Source organism: Homo sapiens, chromosome 3, assembly GCF_000001405.40.
Source record: "Homo sapiens chromosome 3, GRCh38.p14 Primary Assembly".
Classification (NCBI taxonomy): domain Eukaryota; kingdom Metazoa; phylum Chordata; class Mammalia; order Primates; family Hominidae; genus Homo; species Homo sapiens.
The window spans coordinates 108,523,461-108,543,317 of record NC_000003.12 but is presented as its reverse complement, the minus strand read 5'-3'; the positions used below and the strand labels follow the sequence as shown (position 1 = coordinate 108,543,317).

General features: G+C 36.5%; 1 protein-coding gene and 1 long non-coding RNA gene across 2 annotated transcripts in view; both read left to right on the top strand.

The window, feature by feature from the left end:
- Positions 1-19,857, top strand: part of MYH15 (myosin heavy chain 15) — a 170,705-nt gene that overhangs the window by 7,755 nt on the left and 143,093 nt on the right. The window contains exon 2 of the mRNA XM_011512559.3: positions 13,927-14,055. Within this exon, the coding sequence (XP_011510861.1) occupies positions 14,053-14,055 (3 nt within the window). The 5' untranslated portion in view covers positions 13,927-14,052. The remainder of the gene's footprint in view (positions 1-13,926; positions 14,056-19,857) is intronic.
- On the top strand, positions 16,030-18,577 carry LOC124909406 (uncharacterized). The gene is made up of 2 exons (XR_007096000.1): positions 16,030-16,608; positions 18,393-18,577. It is a non-coding gene; the product is annotated as an uncharacterized LOC124909406 (long non-coding RNA).

Genomic DNA, 19,857 nt, shown 5'->3' with positions numbered 1-19,857 from the left:
ATGTATGTTCATTGCAGCACTATTCACAGTAGCAAAGACATGGAATCAACTCAAATGCTCATCAATAATAGACTGGATAAACAAAATGTGGTACATATACACCATGGAATACTATTCAGCCATAAAAAGGAATGAGATTGACCTGGTGCGGTGGCTCACGCCTGTAACCCCAGCACTTTGGGAGGCCAAGGCGGGCGGATCACAAGGTCAGGAGATCGAGACCATCCTGGACAACATGGTGAAACCTCATCTCTACTAAAAATACAAAAATTAGCCGGACATGATGGTGTTTGCCTGTAGTCCCAGCTACTCAGGAGGCTGAGGCAGGAGAATCACTTGAGCCCGTGAGGCAGAGGTTACAGTGAGCTGAGATCGTGCCACTGCACTCCAGCCTGGGCAACAGAGCAAGACTCCATCTCAAAAAAAAAAAAAAAAAGGAACGAGATCATGTCATTTGCAGGGACATGGATAGAGTTGGAAGCCATTATTCTCAGCAAGCTAACGGGAATAGAAAACCAAACGCTGCATGTTCTCAGTTATAAGTGGGAGCTGAATTATAACACATGGACACGTGGGGAACAACACACACTGGAGCCTGTTGTGGGGAGGAGTGGGGGGCAAGAGAGCATCAGGAAGAATAGCTAATAGGTGCTGGGCCTAATACCAATGTGATGGGTTGATCTGTGCAGCACACCATGTGACATGCTTACCTTTGTAAGAAACCTGCACATGTATCCGGAACTTTAGGAGTAAAGAATATTCAATGCTAAAAATAAATGAGCTATGAAGACATGGAGGAAATTTAAATGCATATTGCTAAATGAAAAGCCAGTCTGAAAAGGCTGCACACATTATTACAACTATATGACATTCTGGAAAAGTCAAAACTATAGAACACTTGAAAGAATGAAAGAGCGGAGCAAAAAATAAATGGAGCATTTTAGGGCAGTGAAACTATTCTGTATAATACTATAATGGTGGGTACATGACATTCATTTTGTCAAAATTCATATAGAACTGTGTAATACAAAATGAACTTTACACTGTAGACTATGGTTAATGTATTAATACTGGTTCGTTAATTATAATAAATGTGTCAGTAATCCAAGATGTAAATAATAGGGGTGCCAGGGGACTCAATGGACACACGGAACTATCTTCCGTGTGAAGATAGTGTGAGAACTATCTTCTCAAAATCTAAAACTTTACTAAAATTTGTAAGTCTTAATTTTTAATACAGAAAAAGGATGATACATGACAGTTATTTCCCTTTCATCCCTCTCTCAGCAATCTAGTTACCCTCCACAGAATCACTAATTTTTTTGACCAGATTTCTTATGTATTCTTAAAGAGATAATGCAATACATAAATGTGTATACCTATATTTATATATTGGTGGGCTACAGAAATGCAAGTATTTTATACATATTGTTTTGTACCTTTTTCACTATGTGATATTTAGGAAATCATTTCATGATATCAATACGTATAGGGCTTCTTGATCATTTTTGACAGTTTCATAATATTTCATTGATCAATATAGTTTAAGTCATATTAATGAACACATTGTTTTTTCATCTTTGGCTATAATGAAGACATTGCAGTTATTATACAGATGTCATTCAAAATATTACTTAGTTGAAGTGTATGTACATTTACAAATAACCCACTAGCGATATTTGTTTCCCCACATCCTCATTCCATTGTAATCCAAGTTTTTCAACCATTATGGTGTTAACAAACTTTTTCATGGCTACCATATATGTAAAAACTATTTGTTTCCTTTTCTGTAAAGTGTTTAATCCCTTTCCAATTTCTCCTGTGGGTTATTCATCTTTTTTTTATTCATCTTTTTTTTTTAACTGGGTTCCTGATGATCTTTAGTAAGTACATTTTTCACTTGTCCTTGATAAAAATTGCAAATTTTTTTTCAATTAGCTGTCATTTGACTTTGTTTATGGTTTAGCTTTTCTGTGAAGAATTTTTTATTTGTAATTTTTTCATCATTTTTATTATTGTGACTTGATAATGTTTTAGTATTTTATAGGAGCAATCTCTCATATTTATTTGAGAATTTTCCTGTACACTTGCTCATTTATTTTTCTATATTATTTATTTTAGACTCATCTTGTCTAGTTAAAAAATAGTGTTGACACTTGTTTGAATAATGTTAGGTTTATAGGTTTTTAGATTAGGAAGAATTGACATCTCTATGATGTTAAATTATCTTTTCTAAAACATAGTGTATCTTTTCATGTGTTCATGATCTTCAGTAGTACTTTATGACCCTCAATAATGCTTTATTTGAATATAGTTTTTATACCTTGTTAAGTTTTAGCTTTTTGTCATTGTTCATTATATGTTCATTGTATTCATAAAATATATGAATATACATATTTTGTACCCAAACCAATAGTGAATTTACCTGAAGAATCCAAGAGAATCACTAAAACTACTATAAATAATAAACCCGTTCTGTCATCTGTAAAAAAATTTACATTTTCATATCCAAGTTTTAAATAACATTTCTCTTATCCAGATCATTTTTTTAATATGATGAAAAAGGAATTTGCTCTTGGTGTTAATGGAAGCAATTTTAGTGTTTTCCCATTAAGCACAATGCTCACTTTTGGATTAAGATATACGTGTTTTAACTTGTTAAGTATTCATCTATTTCTATTTTACTAAAAATTTTTATTAAGACTGGGAATGATTGTACCAAAATGGAAATGGAATTTTATCAGATCTTTTCGATATCTATAAAGATAATGTGACTTTTTTCTCTTTTTTTTAGTATCATATCAGTCGTTATAGGCTAGTTTGTGCTTCAGTAACTAATAACCTTAAAATCTCAGTAGCTTTAAACAACATGGTTTATTTCTGGCTCATACTCCATGTCAGTGGAATTCCATACTTTCCTTCCTCCCAGAGCCAGGCTCATAGAGCAGCCATCATCTGGCATTTTGAGAGATGCTGTCTGTGGTGGAGAGAAAGGGAACATGGTAGGTCAGCCACTGACTTTTAAACTTTCCACTTGGAAATAATACACATGACTTTAGCTAACATTTTATTCACCAGTGCAAATCACATGGCCACAGAGAACCGAAGAAGAGGTCAAATAATTCTACCATGTAACCTGGAAAAGAAGTGGAAGTGTTTGGTCAATATATAACTAAATATATTAATACATTTCTTGATTTGAATGAATCTTAAATTTCTGAAATGAATGTATCATGGATTTTTTTTAGTGTGCTTTTAGGTTCTGTTTGGCAATATTTAGGAATTTCACATGGATATAAGTGAGATACATTTTATTTTGTGTGTGCTCATGTGGGCAGTCTTTGTCAGGGCTTGGTATTATTCTAGCTTTAAAAAGAAGAGTATTTAACTTACTTTTTATGCTCCTGTATAAAATGTAAGCAGAGTTGGAGGCTTATGTTCTTTAAAGACTTAGTAGAACTGACCTGTGAAACAATCTAGGAATGGGCTTTCTGGGGGTAGAAAAGGGTACAGCCAGGAAACTGTCTATATTTCTTCTGTGCTAATTGGTTTGTTCAGATAATATTATCTCTACTCTAAATTGTGTTCATTTATATTTTTAGAATTTTATTTAATTCCAGGTATTTGTTTTGCATATATTTGAACAAATAAGTATACTGATAAGCTTTTACTGTCCTTGGTTCTTTAGTTACCCGTAAATTATATTTTCCTATTTTATGTAATTGACTTTTTCACTTTTTATTCTGCTTTAAATCAGCCAGAAGTTTATCTATTTATTTATTTTAAATAACCAGGTATTAGATCTATTACTTTATCATTTTTCTATCTGCTAATACATAGTTGCTTGCTTTATTTATTTAAAATATTGTGAAGAATATACACATGTAGAAAAGTGCACAACACATGTTTTCCCATATATATAACATTGAACAGCTACCCAAGTCAAAAGTCCACCTCATGTCCCTGCTAAACCTCTATCATTCCCTCCTCCTCAAACTTAAGTACGGTAGTGTTAACACGGCGGTATTGTTTCACCTGCTTTTGAGCTTTATATATATGGACTCATTAGTATGTATTTGTGTCTTTCACTCAATAATATGAGAGCTGTTTTAAATTTTTATTTTCTAAATTTATTAAATTGAAACACAGTTGACTTTTGTATATTAACTTTGTGTTATGGTTTGAATGTTTCCCCAAAGTTCATGTGTAGGAAACTTACTACACAATGCAACAGTGTTGGGAGGTGGGGCCTAATAAAAAGTAACTAGGACATAAGGGCTCTGCCTTCATGAATGGATTAGTGTTACCAAGAAAGTGGGCTTGCAAGTATTGCAAGAGTGGGCTTGTTAACAAAAGTGAGAACAGTTCCCTCTTGCCTTCTTTCTCTCACCTTCCATTGCCCTTCCACTCTCTGCCATGGGGTGATGTGCAGCAAGAAGACCCTCACGGGATGTGGTTTCCTTGACCTTGGATTTCCTAGTCTCTAGAACTGTAAGAAATGTCTTTTCTTTATAAATTACCCAGTCCCTGGTATTCTGTTATAGCAACACAAAACAGACTAAGACACCTCAACCAGCCAACTTGATAAACTCAATCTCATAAATTATGAAATTAAAGGGAACTTTTATATACACATCTCATTGTCCACAAAACAGTGATAGTTTTATTTCTTTATTTCAAATTTCTATGACTTTCATTTCTCTCTGTCACTTCATTACAGCAGCTAGGACCTGCAATAAAATTTTGCTTTGAATAGACATTTTTTATCTTCTTCCCAATCTTGAAGTGTATGCTGTTAACATTTCACAATTAAGTATAATTGATGCAAGTTTTTCCTAGAAATGCCTTATGAAATTAAAGAGGTTTACTTCTTAGTTTGAAAGAATTTAAAATATTTATCAAATGCTTTATCTGCAAGGAGGATGAGCTCCTCTAGTCTCATTGATCAGGCAGGATTTCAGCTTCCTGTTCTTGACGTTAGGTTCTGCTGGATTAGAGTTTCCGGTTACCCAAGTAGGAAATTCTTTTGCCAAGAGATACAATAAAGATTTCCTTAAACTGGAAGCTCAGTCTGGCATCTAACAACTTGGAGCTTCTGATATTAAGCCATCAGGAAAGGAGGAGTTTGTCAACTAGCTAGGATGAATGATCCCACACAATACACAACGGAAGCAGTAAGAAGAATGCCCGAAACACAGGAGAACATCTGGAGCACCTCTTAGTATTCCTAGATCTGGGATAAAAATCAGTGGAAAACCACATTAACTGCTAATGGACCCAGGCCTTTCAGAAATGACAGTTTGGATCATCCCACAAGGAACAAACTGACCAACTGAAGTGTTTGCCAAGGGGAAAGGGACAGAATGAATAGTGCAAGGAGACAGAAATATCAGCGATGATCACATGCCCACTTTGAGAAACAAGACTGTAGTAATTATGCATATTTTATCCCAACCTTGAAGTGGGCTATGTATTATTTTCTTCCCATTTTAATTATTTTTCTTTGTTTTTCCCCGTCTCCCATTTATCTGCTGTCTAAGGTAAGCTATATTAATAGTGGTTAACTTTGTAGCCCAGTATTTAGGTTACAGAATATCTTAGTCCACGTGTGCTACTACAGCAAAACAGACGAGGTAATTTGTAAACTATGTTCTGGAATCTGGGAAGTCCATGATCAAAGTGCCAACAGGTTCAGTGTCTGATGAGGGCTGCTCTCTTCTAAGATGCTGCCTTGTTGCTGTGTCCTCACGTGGCAGAAAGTGGAAGGGCAAAAGATCTAGCTAGTTCCCTCTAGCCTCTTTTATATGGGTAAAATATTTCATGTATCCCATTTGTGAGGACTTTGCTCTCATGTCTTAATCATCACCCTGAAGGCCCTCCCTCTTAATACTATTATTAATACATTGGCAATTAAATTTCAGCATATGAATTTTTGGGGACATATTTAGACCATAACACAAGATTTCTGAGGGGTAGAATGATTGAGCCTAAAGAGGAATAGACATCACCCATGAATGAGGTGATATATGGGACTGTGTGTCCTCTCAGGAGAGTGTGTGGCTGTTTTGGTTGTACAGGCCTCCCTATGACTTTACTCTTTCTTTGTTAGAGATTTAGAGGAATGATCATACCTGCTCCCATCTCTGTAAGTTATAATCAATTAAAAACAAAAGTAGTCAAAATATAGATTTAGCTTTATAATAGAAAGGGTGGATTTCTCAAATTGGCAAGCCTGCCTCTCTCCTGACTCAATTTGAATTTCCCCATCCAATTGCAGGGAGAGAGCACTAAATACATTCCTACTCTGAAGAGAACTATCCAGTGTATTTGCCACGTGGGAGAAGTAGCTGAGGAAGGAGAATATGTTTCACTTAGAAATAGCTTCAAAAGAGAGATCTGCACTATCTGTTTTCAAACAGTAACCTTGTCACCAGGATGCTGTGTTCTTTGATAGGAGAGTCTCCCAAGTTTTGCCAGGCCAATAAGTTATTACTTCCAGGAGGGGCAAGTGATAAATGCTGAGGTATCCCGTAAGTGTACATTCTAATATAGTTCTTTGAAGGTGTATGGGAAGGCCCCTTATTGGAAACTTGGGGGCTTAGATTCTATTTGACATACCCCACTTACTCTTTTGTCACTGAAGCTCAAAGATGCTGCTTGTATACTTACTTTCATTATGGCCACCTGGGCCATTCCCCCTTGGTAGAACCCTGAGTGGCATCCCCTATTTGTAATTCTATAGATTGACCCATTATCAATGTTAGCACCTTTCTCCCCTCCTTACCTGTATGAGTTCTTTCTTAAAGAACTATAAACTTTACAGTGTGAGAAATAAGATTCTGCATTTGCTTTTCCAACATCCCTTGATGCTAGGCATTGTCCCAAGACATGGTTTTGGCCAATGAGCTGTAGAAATCTGCTGAGTGGAGTGATGTTCTTGAACAACTGTTTTTCTAATAAAAGAAAATAGATACAAATGTCATCAACCCCCTTTTCCTCCTCCTTTCTGTCTTAAACATGCAATTGTTTTGTTTTGTTTTGTTTTGTTTTTTTGAGGTAAAGTCTCACTCTGTCACCTAGGATGGAGTTCAGTAGCACAATCTTGGCTGGCTGCAACCTCCGCCTCCCAGGTTCAAGTGATTCTTCTGCCTCAGCCTCACAAATAGCTGGGATGACAGGCATGTGCCACCACCCCCGGCTAGTTTTTGCATTTTTAGAAATGGGGTTTTTCCATGTTGGCCAGGTTGGTCTCGAACTTCTGACCTCAGAAGATCCGCCCACCTCGGCCTCCCAAAGTGCTGGGATTACAGACATGAGCCACCTCGCCCTGCCTAAACATGCAACTGTTTTTCTAATGCAATTTGTTCAGCAACAAAAACAACAAAGAGAATGTCAATATGCATATAAATAACCCTTACCAACTATTCTGAGTTGCAAGTTAGGGGACATCTTGTTTAGCGAATACTCATGCCAGAGTTGGATGTGTGTGTGGTTTTTGTTTGTTTTGTCTTTTGGGGGGTGGCCTGTTTTATTAACTATAAGAAGATCAAATAATAAGTCGAAACAGTTAATATTATTTCTTAATACACTTACCTTAGTGTACAAAACCCCCCAAAAAACACTCTATAGCTTTTACTAGGCTCTCACATTGTTAGAATCTCCTTAGTGGTTCTCAAATTTGGGTGTATATTAAAATCTTGGAGGTCTTGTTAAACTACAGATTACTGGGACCCACCAGACACACTGCTATAGACTGAATGTTTGCATTCCCATAAGATTCATATGTTGAATCCTAACTCCCAATATGATGATATTTGGATGTGGGGCCTTTGGGAGGTAACTAGGTCATGAGAGTGGAGCCCTCATAAATGGGATTAGTGCCCTTACAAAAGAGGCTCAAGAGAGACCTATGCCCCCCCACCACATGAGGACACAGTGAGAAAATGCCATCTATGCAGCAGAAAGAAAGCCCTCATCAGACACCAAATCTGCTGATGCCTTGATCTTTGACTTCTCAGCATCCAAAGCTGTGAGAAATAAATTTCTGCTGTTTGTGAGCCACCCAGTTCATGGTATTTTACTATAGCAGCCCAGATGGAACTAAGACACCCATACTCAGAGTTTCTAATTTAGTAGGTCTGGGACAGCTCAAGAATTTGCATTTCTAACAAGTTCCCAGGCAATGTTAATGGCACTGATCTGGGAACCATGTTTTGAAATTTGCTGTCCTACAATACCAATGCTGCATTGTCTTCCACACCTATTTTGAGATAATAGACCCCAGTTGGTGTTGGATGTTGTGAGGAGCTGTGTGTTATGTTAAATTTCCACCAGGTGGGAATACAGAAGAACTGAAATACCAAGCACATCATCAAAAGTTACCTTCTCAGAAAGAAACAGTGAAGTTTTATTTTCATCTTGGTTTAATGATTTTTTTAAGAGACAATGTTTCACTCTCACCCTGGCTAGAGTGCAATGGTTTGATCATGGCTCACTGCAGCCTCAACCTCCTGGGCTCAAGTGATCCTCCTGCCTCAGCCTTGCAAGTAGCTGGGACTACAGGTGCATCCCACCACGCCCAGCTAATCTAAAAAAAAAAAATTTTTTTTTTTTTTTTAGAGATGTGATCCCACTATGTTACCCAGACTGGTCTTGAACTCCTGGCCTCAAGTGCTCCTCCTGCCTTGATCTCCGAAAGTGCTGAGATTACAGGCATAAACCACTGAATCTGACCTAATGATTTCTTGTATCATTTTTCTTAAGCTTCAGAAACAACTTGTAAAGAAGACAATTATGAGACTATTTTTACCATATTACTTTATGATAAAAAGTTGAGACAAAATTAAACCAGTTTCTGGCTGAATGATAATTGAATACTTCACTTTTTCGACTTATGAAAGACCAAATAGTTTTAATTTAGCTTTAAATGTCATTGGTTTGATAGAGCATTCGTGAGACATCCTTCTAGGGATAAAAATATTAGAAGAAAATATACTATCAAATAGGCTGGTCTAATTTTCTATTTTCAAGATAAATAATATGGCTGACATTGGGTTTTATTATAATATGCAATTGGAGTTTTCTGATGTGAGCCTTAGTGATTACTATCATTCAGCTTTCTATAAAACCTAGGCATCTCATTAGAATTCTGTTTCTGAGCAGTGCAATCATTTGTGCAGCAGCTGGAGAAGGCTCATGTATTTCACAGGACTCCTTAGATTAATGACAAGAAATGCCTGGTAGTGACCCATGAATGGAAAGCAGGAATCTTTCAAAAAAGCTCTTCAAATGTATAAGTCAATCGTTTTAAGAGTATTTTTTAAAAAATGCTTATGGTAAAGATCTACTTGGTTATACATTGTTTCCCTTCATCTATAGATTCAGCCTCACTCAATATTCTCAGGTCAGTCCTAGCTTTTATCTGGAGGTATTTAAACCCCCTGCAGGGGAAGGCAGGGTAGCAGTTTCACCTTGTTGAACTTGCTGACTAGCCAGTTGTAGTTGTATGTCCAGATTCCATTACCTAGGCTTTCGTCTTTTAATCAAATCCTAAATTAAAACCAAGTCCTAATAAATGGATTCCTGACCTATGACATGTATTCTGGTTTCCTTTACAGAACCCCAATTCCTCCATGATTAAGGTCTTATGCAGTCCCCAAGTCTTTCACGAAATATAGTCCCAACTCCCTCCTCACAGTCTGGCACCTTACCCTATACTTTGAAACCTTTTGCTTGCCCATTGGAGATTCCAGTGTATCTCTCCCTGGTTGATCATCATAACCAATATTTGTATAGGACTTTACCTTTAACAAACCACCTTAATCTTTTTATACATTCTCTTATTTGATCATCAAAAATTATCAGGTGAGCATGGTGGTCACATTTTAATTTAATTCAATAATTTAATTACAGAAAATCTAAGACTCAGAAGGATTAAGTAAACTGCCCAGGATCCTAGAGCTAGTAAATAATTGATAATTAGGGGAGATCAGGTCTTCTGGGCATTAATTTAGTGTTTTTATTGCCCCGCCTTTGTGCCAGACCTCCCTGAAATTCTGGCATGCACTTCTGCCTGAACTTCTTTCTACTGCATTCTGTTGGGACCTTCTCAAGGACAGGTTGCTCTTCAGAGCAAACTTGGTCTCGCCCATTTTGCCTAACCTCCTGCTCAATACTCATGAAAAAAAAAAAAAAAAAAAGCTTTTATTGTTTTTAAAAATATATCTGAATCAAATGAAAGTACAGTCACAAAAGACGTAATTTGAGACTAGGAACAACAAATTTATCTCATAAATAAGGACCCTGGCCCATAGAAAACCTTATTTAATTCTATCATCATAATCACTGTCATCATGTTTCAACCCTGAATACATTAGTTACCAGTTGTTGAAACATTGGTAAAGTGGAACTACACGCTCAGTAGCCAATACATTGGTTTGGCAGTATACTTATTCTTGATGAGTTCATCATCCAGATAGGCATGGCCTTGATGTTATTCCCTGGTACACCTCTGACCTTTAATTTTACTGCCTTCTCTTAAACAACAAGGGTTCCATACCCTTGATCGTATCTTAAAGAACTACAGTACTTCCTAAATCAATAGTAGGAAAGTCCTTCTAAGATGACATATTAGTCAAGGTTCTGCAGAGAAACAGAACCAATAGGGTGTGTTGTATGTGTGTACAGAGAGAGCAAGAGTGAGAGATTTCTCATAAGAAATTGGCTTACATGATTATGAAGGCTGAGAAGTCCCAATATCTTCAGTCAGCAAGATGGAAATACAAGAGAGCCAATGTGTAGTTTCAGTGTGAGAACCAGTAGATCTGACAGTGTAAGTTCCAGTTTGAAAGCTGGAAGAATAGAGACTCAAGAAGAGACAATGTTTTAGTCAGAGTCCAAAGACCAGAAAAGACTGATGTCCCAGCTCTAAGGAGTCAAACAGGAGGAGTTCCTTCTTATTCTCAGGAGGTCAGCCTTTTTGTCCTATTCAGATTTTTTGATTGGATAAGGTCTACCCATATTAGTGAGACCAATCTGCTTTGCTCAGTTTACCAATTTGAATGTTAATCTCGTCCAGAAACACCCTCACAGACACACCGAGAATAATGTTTGACCAAATATTTGAGCATCCTGTGGCCCACTCAAGTCAAGACAAAAATTTAACTGTCACAGATGACAACATTTAGGATCTTTATATAGGGAAAATGTTCTATTTTAATTTTGATCTCTCTTTTTTCTCTTTCTTGAGAAAAGCTCAACTACTTTCTCCCCATGCTTCCCTCCCTTCCAGTGCTTCCCTAAAAATTACTTATTCTAAGATGAGAGTGGACCTCTCCTACAAATCTGACAGTTGTTTTTCAGTTTTTACCTCTTTCAGTTTCTACTGTAATATTGTGCCCTTGGGATAATTACGTAACCTCTCTAAGTGTCAAGTTTTAATTTTTCAAATGGCAAGACCTGTTGCTAATAGGTGTTCTTAGTAATAAAGTATTTATTTTTATTTTATTTATGTATTTATTTATTTATTTATTTATTTATTTAGAGATGGGGTCTCGCTCTGTCGCCCAGGCTGGAGTGCAGTGGTGCGATCTCGTCTCACTGCAAGCTCTGCCTCCCGGGTTCACACCATTCTTCTGCCTCAGCCTCCCAAGTAGCTGGGACTATGGGTGCCCACCAGGCCTGGCTAATTTTTTTGTATTTTTTAGTAGAGACAGGGTTTCACCATGTTAGCTAGGATGGTCTGTATCTCCTGACCTCGTGATCTGCCTTTACTTTTATAATATTTTAGAAATATTCTCTCTTACCTATGTTATTCCAGCATATCAGAGGCCATTGACCTTGGAGACCTGCTGCAAATATGGGTATGGCCCAGCAGGCGATTTACACCCTCTCCCCCAGAGTTTCAAGTGCCCGTGAGAACTCACCAGATGCTGCAGGAACCATGACACTTTACAACGCACAGGCCACTCTCTTGGAATGAAGCCATTCAAGCACACCCTGCCCTTCTCAAAGGAAAGAGAACTCTCCCTGGGGTCCCACCGGCTTCTCTGGGATCTGTCATGTTATCATACACATTAATTTTAAAAATAATAATATCTTTCTTTGTATTCCCACTGGTTTTAGGTTTCTCATTTCTCTGTTGTATTATGGTTACCACCTGCCTGAAATCTTTGGTCTCATTCTCCCTCATTCATGAGTTCTGTCCTGCATCCTGCTACCCATTCAGTCTTTGTAAAATACCACTAGTTTTAAGCCAAATTTTGCTGAAAAGCCTTCAATAGTTTCCAATAACTTACAGCAATAATTCTCAAATTGTGCTTCACTGAACCCCATGATAGCGCTCATCTTGAAGTCAACACTTCTTGAACCAGAACAGCTATTCCATGCTCTACTTATTGTATTCAATATTTCCTATGGTTTCTTGAATATATTAAATACAGTTATAATAACTATTGTAATGTTTTTATCTACTCATTCCATCATCTATATCATTTCTAGGTCCATTTTGATTGGACTTTTCTTCTCATTTAAGCTGTATTTTTCTGCTTCTTTGAATGTGTGGTAATTTTTAAGTATTTTTAGAGCAGTTTTAGGTTCACAGCAAAATTGAGAGGAAAATACAGAGATTTTCCATATATCCCCTGTCCCTACACATGCATAGCCTCACCCATTATCAACATCCCCACCAGAGTACACATCTTATAATTGATGAACCTACGTTGACACATTATTATTACTCAAAGTCCATAATTCACATTAGGGTTCACTCTTGGTATTGTACATCCTATGGGTCTGGACAAATATATTCACCACTATAGTGTCACTCAGAAAAGTTTCACTGCCCTAAAAAATCCCCTATGCTCCACCTATTTATCTCTCCCTCTTCACAACTCCCTGGAAATCACTGATATTTTCACTGTCTCCATGTTTTGCCTTTTCAAGAATGTCATACAATTGTCAAACAGTGTATAGCCTTTTCTGCCTGGTAATTTTTAATTAGATGCCAGACATTGTGAATTCTAGCTTGTTAGGTGGTAGATATATTTGTATTCCTATAGATATCTTTGAGCTTTGTTTTGAGTTGCAGTTAAGTTACTTAGAAACTGATTCTTTCCATTTGGATTTTTAAGTTTTGCTAGAAAGGACAAGAGCAGTGTTTAGTTTACGGCTAATCTCCACTATTGACATGAAACCCTTGTGAATACACTTCCTGATTCCCCATGAAGTATGAAGTTTTCCACTCTGGCTTGCAGGAACAAAAACTATTTCTAAAGGGCTCCAAGGACTTTTCTTCTAATTTATTTGGGTGGTCCTTTCCTCATACACATGCACAGATCACTACACTACTGATGACTTGATAAGGATCCTCTGCAGTTCCCCAGAGCTCTCTCTGAGCAGCTCTCTCCTATCCAGTACTCTGCTCTATAAACTCTAGCCATCTCAGCCACTACAGACTGCTAGCTTCATCTCCTTAACTCAAAGAGGTTGCTGGTCATGGTCTGAAAACTCCCTGTGTTATGTCTTGGAAACTCTTCAAGCTGAGGCAGTCATGGAGCTCACCTTGTTTGCTCCCCTCTTTCAGGGATCAGTGTCCTTTGTGTTTATTAATCAATTATTTAAACCCATTGTATCATATGTTCTGTGCTTTTTTCTTAAGTTGTTTTAGGTAGGGGGCTAAATCTTTTCCCTGTTTCCCCACCTTGTTGGAAGAAAATGTCTCAGTCAAGAGACCTATGTTGGAGATTGTTTGAAAAAATGTGTTTTGCCTTAAAAGAATGTTTTGAAATATAGAATAAAATCTAAACTCCTTAGCGAGATAGCCAAAGCCTTCCACAATGTGCTCTCAGTCTGAATTTTGAAATTATTTCCCTGTCCCAAGCACAATGACTAAATATATCTTGTATGTTTCCACCTCTTTATTCACAGATTTCCCATGCTGTCAACATAATGTTGCCTTCCTGGCTATCATTCTCTCATCGGATCCTCAATTTAGGTCATTTCTACTTCATATGATCATTTTAATTGTATTTACCTCATCTTACCAAAAAGATCATGGTGAGTGGACTCCCAACATATGTTTTAATTTGTCTAACAGAATGCTGAATAGCCTGACAGTAGCAGCCTAGAATTTTATTCTTGATGGTCTTAATCAGCAGCACACCAATTACTACATGATAGTATAAAAATAGGCTATGATGTAATTTCTGAGTGATCATTATATGACATAAATGTAGCCGGTCTGCTTTTTAAAAATCCAGATGGTAAAACACTTCATGTGATTTCATTCTGTGTGCTCTTGTGTCCAGTCCCCAACACACAACTTCTCACTTCCCTTTTCTCAGACACCAAGGGTCATGGTGCTGAAATTTTCCACTGAATTTCCTCTCTGTACTTAGTGGGATGGAGTATGACGTGTCACCTTCTCTATTTTTGCTGATACCAGAGTTGCCTGAATTCTAATTATTTACTGAGAGTAGTTTTCTCTGGGACCAACCCCAAGGCAAAAAGTCAGAATAGTTAAGAGCATGGTCTATAGTGTCAGACTGTATGAGTTGGAGTACTGGTTCTGCTGAGTATTAATTAGCACTGTGACCTTGTGTAGTCGTCTCTCTTTTCCAAGCCTCAATTCCTTATCTACAAATAGAAGACAATAATAGTACCCAGCACATAGAGTTCTGTGTAAACACAAGAACTTAGATCATCTTTCTGCACACTCAGTGGGAGTTTACTGCTTTTGGATTGAATTGAGATACATGTTCATACACCTAAATTAGGTCATGGCTTTTAAAGACAAAATTCCTTATCAAACTATTTAAAACCCATGGCAGAGTGCAGAAAAACCCAACCATCATCCAGATTTTAGTGTGTCTGTAATCTCAACTGTTTTACCAAGAAGACTATTGCAAGAAGTTTAAGATTCAAAGAAATCCATCATACCTTATGCTGCCTATTAGTCTTCCAATGATATGGCCATTCTTTATTATTAAGAAACTGAATCAAATTCTACTTATATATGCCCCCAATATAATCACAGTAATTTTGCAATAATTATTTTTTTCTATTTATTAAATAACCTGTTCTGGGTGCTTTTTTGAATATTTTACAGATATTATTGTATTTAAAATGAAAACCTTATGAGGTAGACTGGTATGGTTTGAATATGCATCCCCTTCAAAACTCATGTTGAAATTTAATTGCCATTGTTACAGTATTAAGAGGCGATTAGGTCATGAGGGCTTCACCCTCATTAACGGATTAATACTGTTATAAGGAAGTGGGTTCTTACAAAAAGTTGAGTTCCCCATCCACCTTTTTCTCAGTCCCCTACCAAGGGATAATTATGCAAGAAGTCCCTCACCAGATACAGACTCCTCAACCTTGAACTTCCCAGTTTCCAAAACTGTAAGAAATAAATTTCTGTTTTTATAAATTATTCAGTCTGGGGTTTTGCTATAGCAGCACAAAACAGATTAAGATGAAGGCATATTATAGATGAGAAAACTATAGCCCAGAGAGAATAAAGAATTGCTCAGCATCACCTAGTTAGACAAGAACAGAGTTATGATTCACACTCAGGCAGCCTGACTTCAGAGCCCACTCTTAACCTCTAAGCTCCTTGATAAGCCATAAGATTTTTTCTATGGTGACATATTTTTCAAACCTAAAATTGATCTGACTAGTGTAGATACTGAGAAATTCAGAGACATGGTCAACACAAAATAGGAGTTATGGAAATGCATTGCAAATAACTTCTTAGGGGTAAGATAGGAGATGATTTTTTTAAAAAAATAATTAAACTCTATTAGAATAACATAAATTGTCTCATAAAACATGTAACTGTCTATAGCTGAGAGTCCTTTACAATGAGAGGTGGTGAAGGATGTTTTTAGGCAGACCTGAAAAGTGCATGGGAGGAGCAAGATTTGCCTCTCCTGGACTATGGAGAAGGGCTGTGGAATGCCAGTGTCTGTCTGGGTCACCAGAGAAAGGTTAATTGAGGCTGTTTTGTAGGGCTGGCTGGGTAGGCAGATCTGATGAGAATTCACTAATCCCTGGTGGCTAAACAGAATCCTCCTGCTTGCTTACTGTGGTGGAAAATTCCTCTAGTCTAGCACAGTAGTTCTCAAAGTGAGATCCCCCAGACAAGTAGCATCAACAGGGAGCTTGTTCAAATGCAACTTCTCAGGCCCCATCCAAGATCTACTGAATCAGAAACTCTGGGAGTGACACATGGCAATCTGCGTTTTAACAAACCCTCTAAATAATTCTGATGCACACTAAATTTTAAGAACAACTGAAAGCAGAAAACTTTTTGAGCTCTACAACTAGAAGTAAGAATATTGAAATGTAAGAACATAGGTGAGAGCTCTTCAAAGTGGATTAGCTACAGATAAATGTAAATAAATTTTAACTCACTGCGTTTGATCTGTTTTTCAATTCTTTTTGATGGAAATAAGTCAACCAAAACACCAGTCCTCACCCTTTTCCTCAGCCACATGCAAGACTCATGTTCATTAAAGTCAAGGCTTAATAAGGCTTGCAACATCGATCAGATGGGCTGCAGTTTATGAGAAAGTGTCAGCCAGACCCTTCCACTGGAGAAAACATGTGAGTGATGGCAAGTAGTAAGTGTTAATGGATGGATATTTTAAAATCTATTCTAATTTATACTTTTTAAAATGAAAATCCCTGGAAAACATCTGAATGCAATTATTATTGGCTTGTTTCAAGTAACTATCAGGGGTCTTAACACAGGTCTGACTTCTGCTCTAGAGCACAAGCTCCCTGAGGGCAGGTACCTTCCTTATTCACCAGTGCTCATTCTGTGTCAGGCTCAATAAACAGATCATGAGCTGAACTGACTGGAAACCTGTGAATAGATCAGAGAGCATTATCCTCACAAGTGAGAGAACAGAAATAGAAAAAGGAAGCGAACAGGGAAACTGGGAACAGGGAAAATAAATTTCAGAGTTGACAACTTTATCTTCTTCAGTTTAGTGAAGACTAATAGAAGCTCTATGTGCAAATATATGCCTCACAGCTGGAAAATTAGGTAGCTCTAATTTGCATAAGTTGTCATTTTAATGTACTTGTTGGTGGCATGAATTGATTAATAAAGTGCTGCATGGTGAGTTTGTTTATCGAAGCATCACTGTATAAGAGTCTAGCTTTATTGGCCCATTTGGCACATTTGAGTTCAGTTTCAATCATGAGGGAAGAAGTCGTCCTTCTGAATGACAGACCTGGGAGTTTTCACAGATATTGGAATTATAGATGAGCAGCTCAGAACAGGATATTTCTTCCCTTTTCTTTTTTTTCCATATCACTACTAGACATGATCAAAGAATAAAATCAAAGATGTTTGTTTGCCTACTATATGCCCTTAATTCTAATTCCAGACCATTTGTTTAATAATACAGATGATTTATTTCAAAATTAGAGATCTGATTTGCTCAAATAGTCTGCATTATTTTTAATATATAGCAGACATCAGTGAAATATATTTTGAAATTTATTGCTCGGGTCCAAACAGCAGATAGATAACAACCCACATTATAAGTCATGGCATCTGCTTTGCCGCCATCATTATCTGTTAAAATGTATTACATTTTTTTCAATGTGTAATCTTATTAAAAATAGGGTAGACATGAGAGTATCTAAACAGAAGTTACTCATTTGAATACAGCCACTCGTTAAAAAACACCCAGTAGCATTAATCCTTCTAGCTGGAAAGTGTTTTTGGCCCAATTGATTCTTTCATTTATCATTTTACCAGGTTCACGAGGGAAGTTTCTAGATTGCTAAAAGCATCAGATGTGTGAGATAAACAATTAATGAAACTGAGCAATGCAATGTGCTGGGTCATTCTGGCTGACAGAAAATTTCCAAATAAGTAGGCATTATCTGCTAAAACATCTGTACCCATGTAGCTACAGAAGATTATTACTGGAGAGTGATTGTGTTGGAAAAGAGAGGTTAAAATAAATAAAGGAGCTCTAGAAAAATATTAAAAGTGAGTTCATTCATTTATTCATCATTATTTATCTATCTGTTTTATTTAGAGTAGTATAACATCTTCACAAAATCATTTTACCCCAAATCGTTAGTTTTAAAATATGTCAGCTAATTACTATTTTGAAGTAATTGCAGTGACCAATATCCATTTTCCCCATCTTCTAAAGATTGGAACCCCCAATCTTTAGCTGAAATTAGGACAATGTAATAGACTTTCTATAGTAGTGGCCAGGAAAACATAAGCATCCTTTGCAACTAGGTGTAACTATGTAATTAAGTTCTTGATAATGTGATGTGAATGGAAAAGGGCAGACAATTTCTGGGAAGAATCTTTAAAGGACATGGCTCTTCTTTTCTTCTTCTTGTTTCTTCCCAAGTGTAAATGAACAAAATGGCTGGGTCTCTAGCAGAATATTGAATCATGCCTTGACCTGGGGAATGAAAGCCATGAACAGTAGATCAAGACAGAAGAAACCTGATCCCTCACACTGGGGTATACATAGGAGCCCTGGATTAACTCCTTCCAGACTTCATGAGAGAAATAAACTTCTGCCGTATTTAAGTCATTGTTATTTTGAGGTTTTTCTGTTTCTAACTACGCTACTTGCAAAGGGCAATTTTGTTATTGTTTTTGTTACCCTTGGCAACTAATACCAGGACTACCAAGAAATACTGACTAAATATAACTGTTTATAATCCTCCAAAGCTGGACCAAAAAAAATGTTAAGTTATAAAAAGAAAAGATAGGCATATTTAACTGTAAAAAATATGACAAAAGTTACCATAAGTGAATTCAAAAGAAAAATAATAGATTTGGTAAATTAAATTAATAATAAAAGACATAGGATTAGCACACAAAATGTACAAAGAACAATTGCAAATTGAAAAGAACAAGTAAATACCCCCATAGAAAAGTAGACAAGATAAACGAAATAAAAAGTAGACAGAACAAACAATTCAGACAAGAACTAATCCAAATGAGTATTCGAAAAGATGTTCAAATTCTTTAACAGAGAAATGAAATTAAACTAACAATGAAATATTACATTATACCTATTGGATTGTCAAAAAGTTATAAAGAATGAAAAGGCCTATTACTGTCAGTAATGCAGGAAAAAGTACTTTCATATATGACTGGTGAAATTGTTAATTGTTACTGCCTTTTTGGAAAACAATCTGGCAATATCTATTAGAATTTTAAATGTGTATTTTCTTTGACTTAACATTCCCACTCCTAGGACACTTTCTCAAATAAATAAAATCATGAGTAATGACACACGTACAAGGATGCTGATTACATTTTTTTATAACGGCAAAAAACCTCTGGAAATGTCAATAGGGGAATTGTTGAATAAATTATGATACATATGGTATGATGTGAAATATCATAGAATCATTAAAATAATGCATTTGAGTTGTAGCAGTTGATTTGGCAGATTTTCAATGAGGTATTATTGAGTGAGAAGAATTAGGACATAGAGGCCTGTATATAATTGATCTTATTTTGTTAAATGACCTACAACAATATGTGATATGTCTGTATATTTGTTTACCTGAACACATAAGCACGGAGAAAAATATTGAAGAATACATCCTAAATTGTTAATCTGGATTATGTGTGGGGTGAATAAAAGCAAGAAGGATAATGTGAGTAGAAGGGTAAGAGAATCCAAGATCTAATATGGGCTGTAGCAAGAGGACAAAGGCAAGCAAAAAAACCCCAAGCTTTATCACATGTTTAACTTCTTGATATGTAAAATTAATTATATGTTATTTATATATGTACAGGAGTGTATTATATATGTATGTATACAAAAACATTTACATAATTCTTTAATGTTT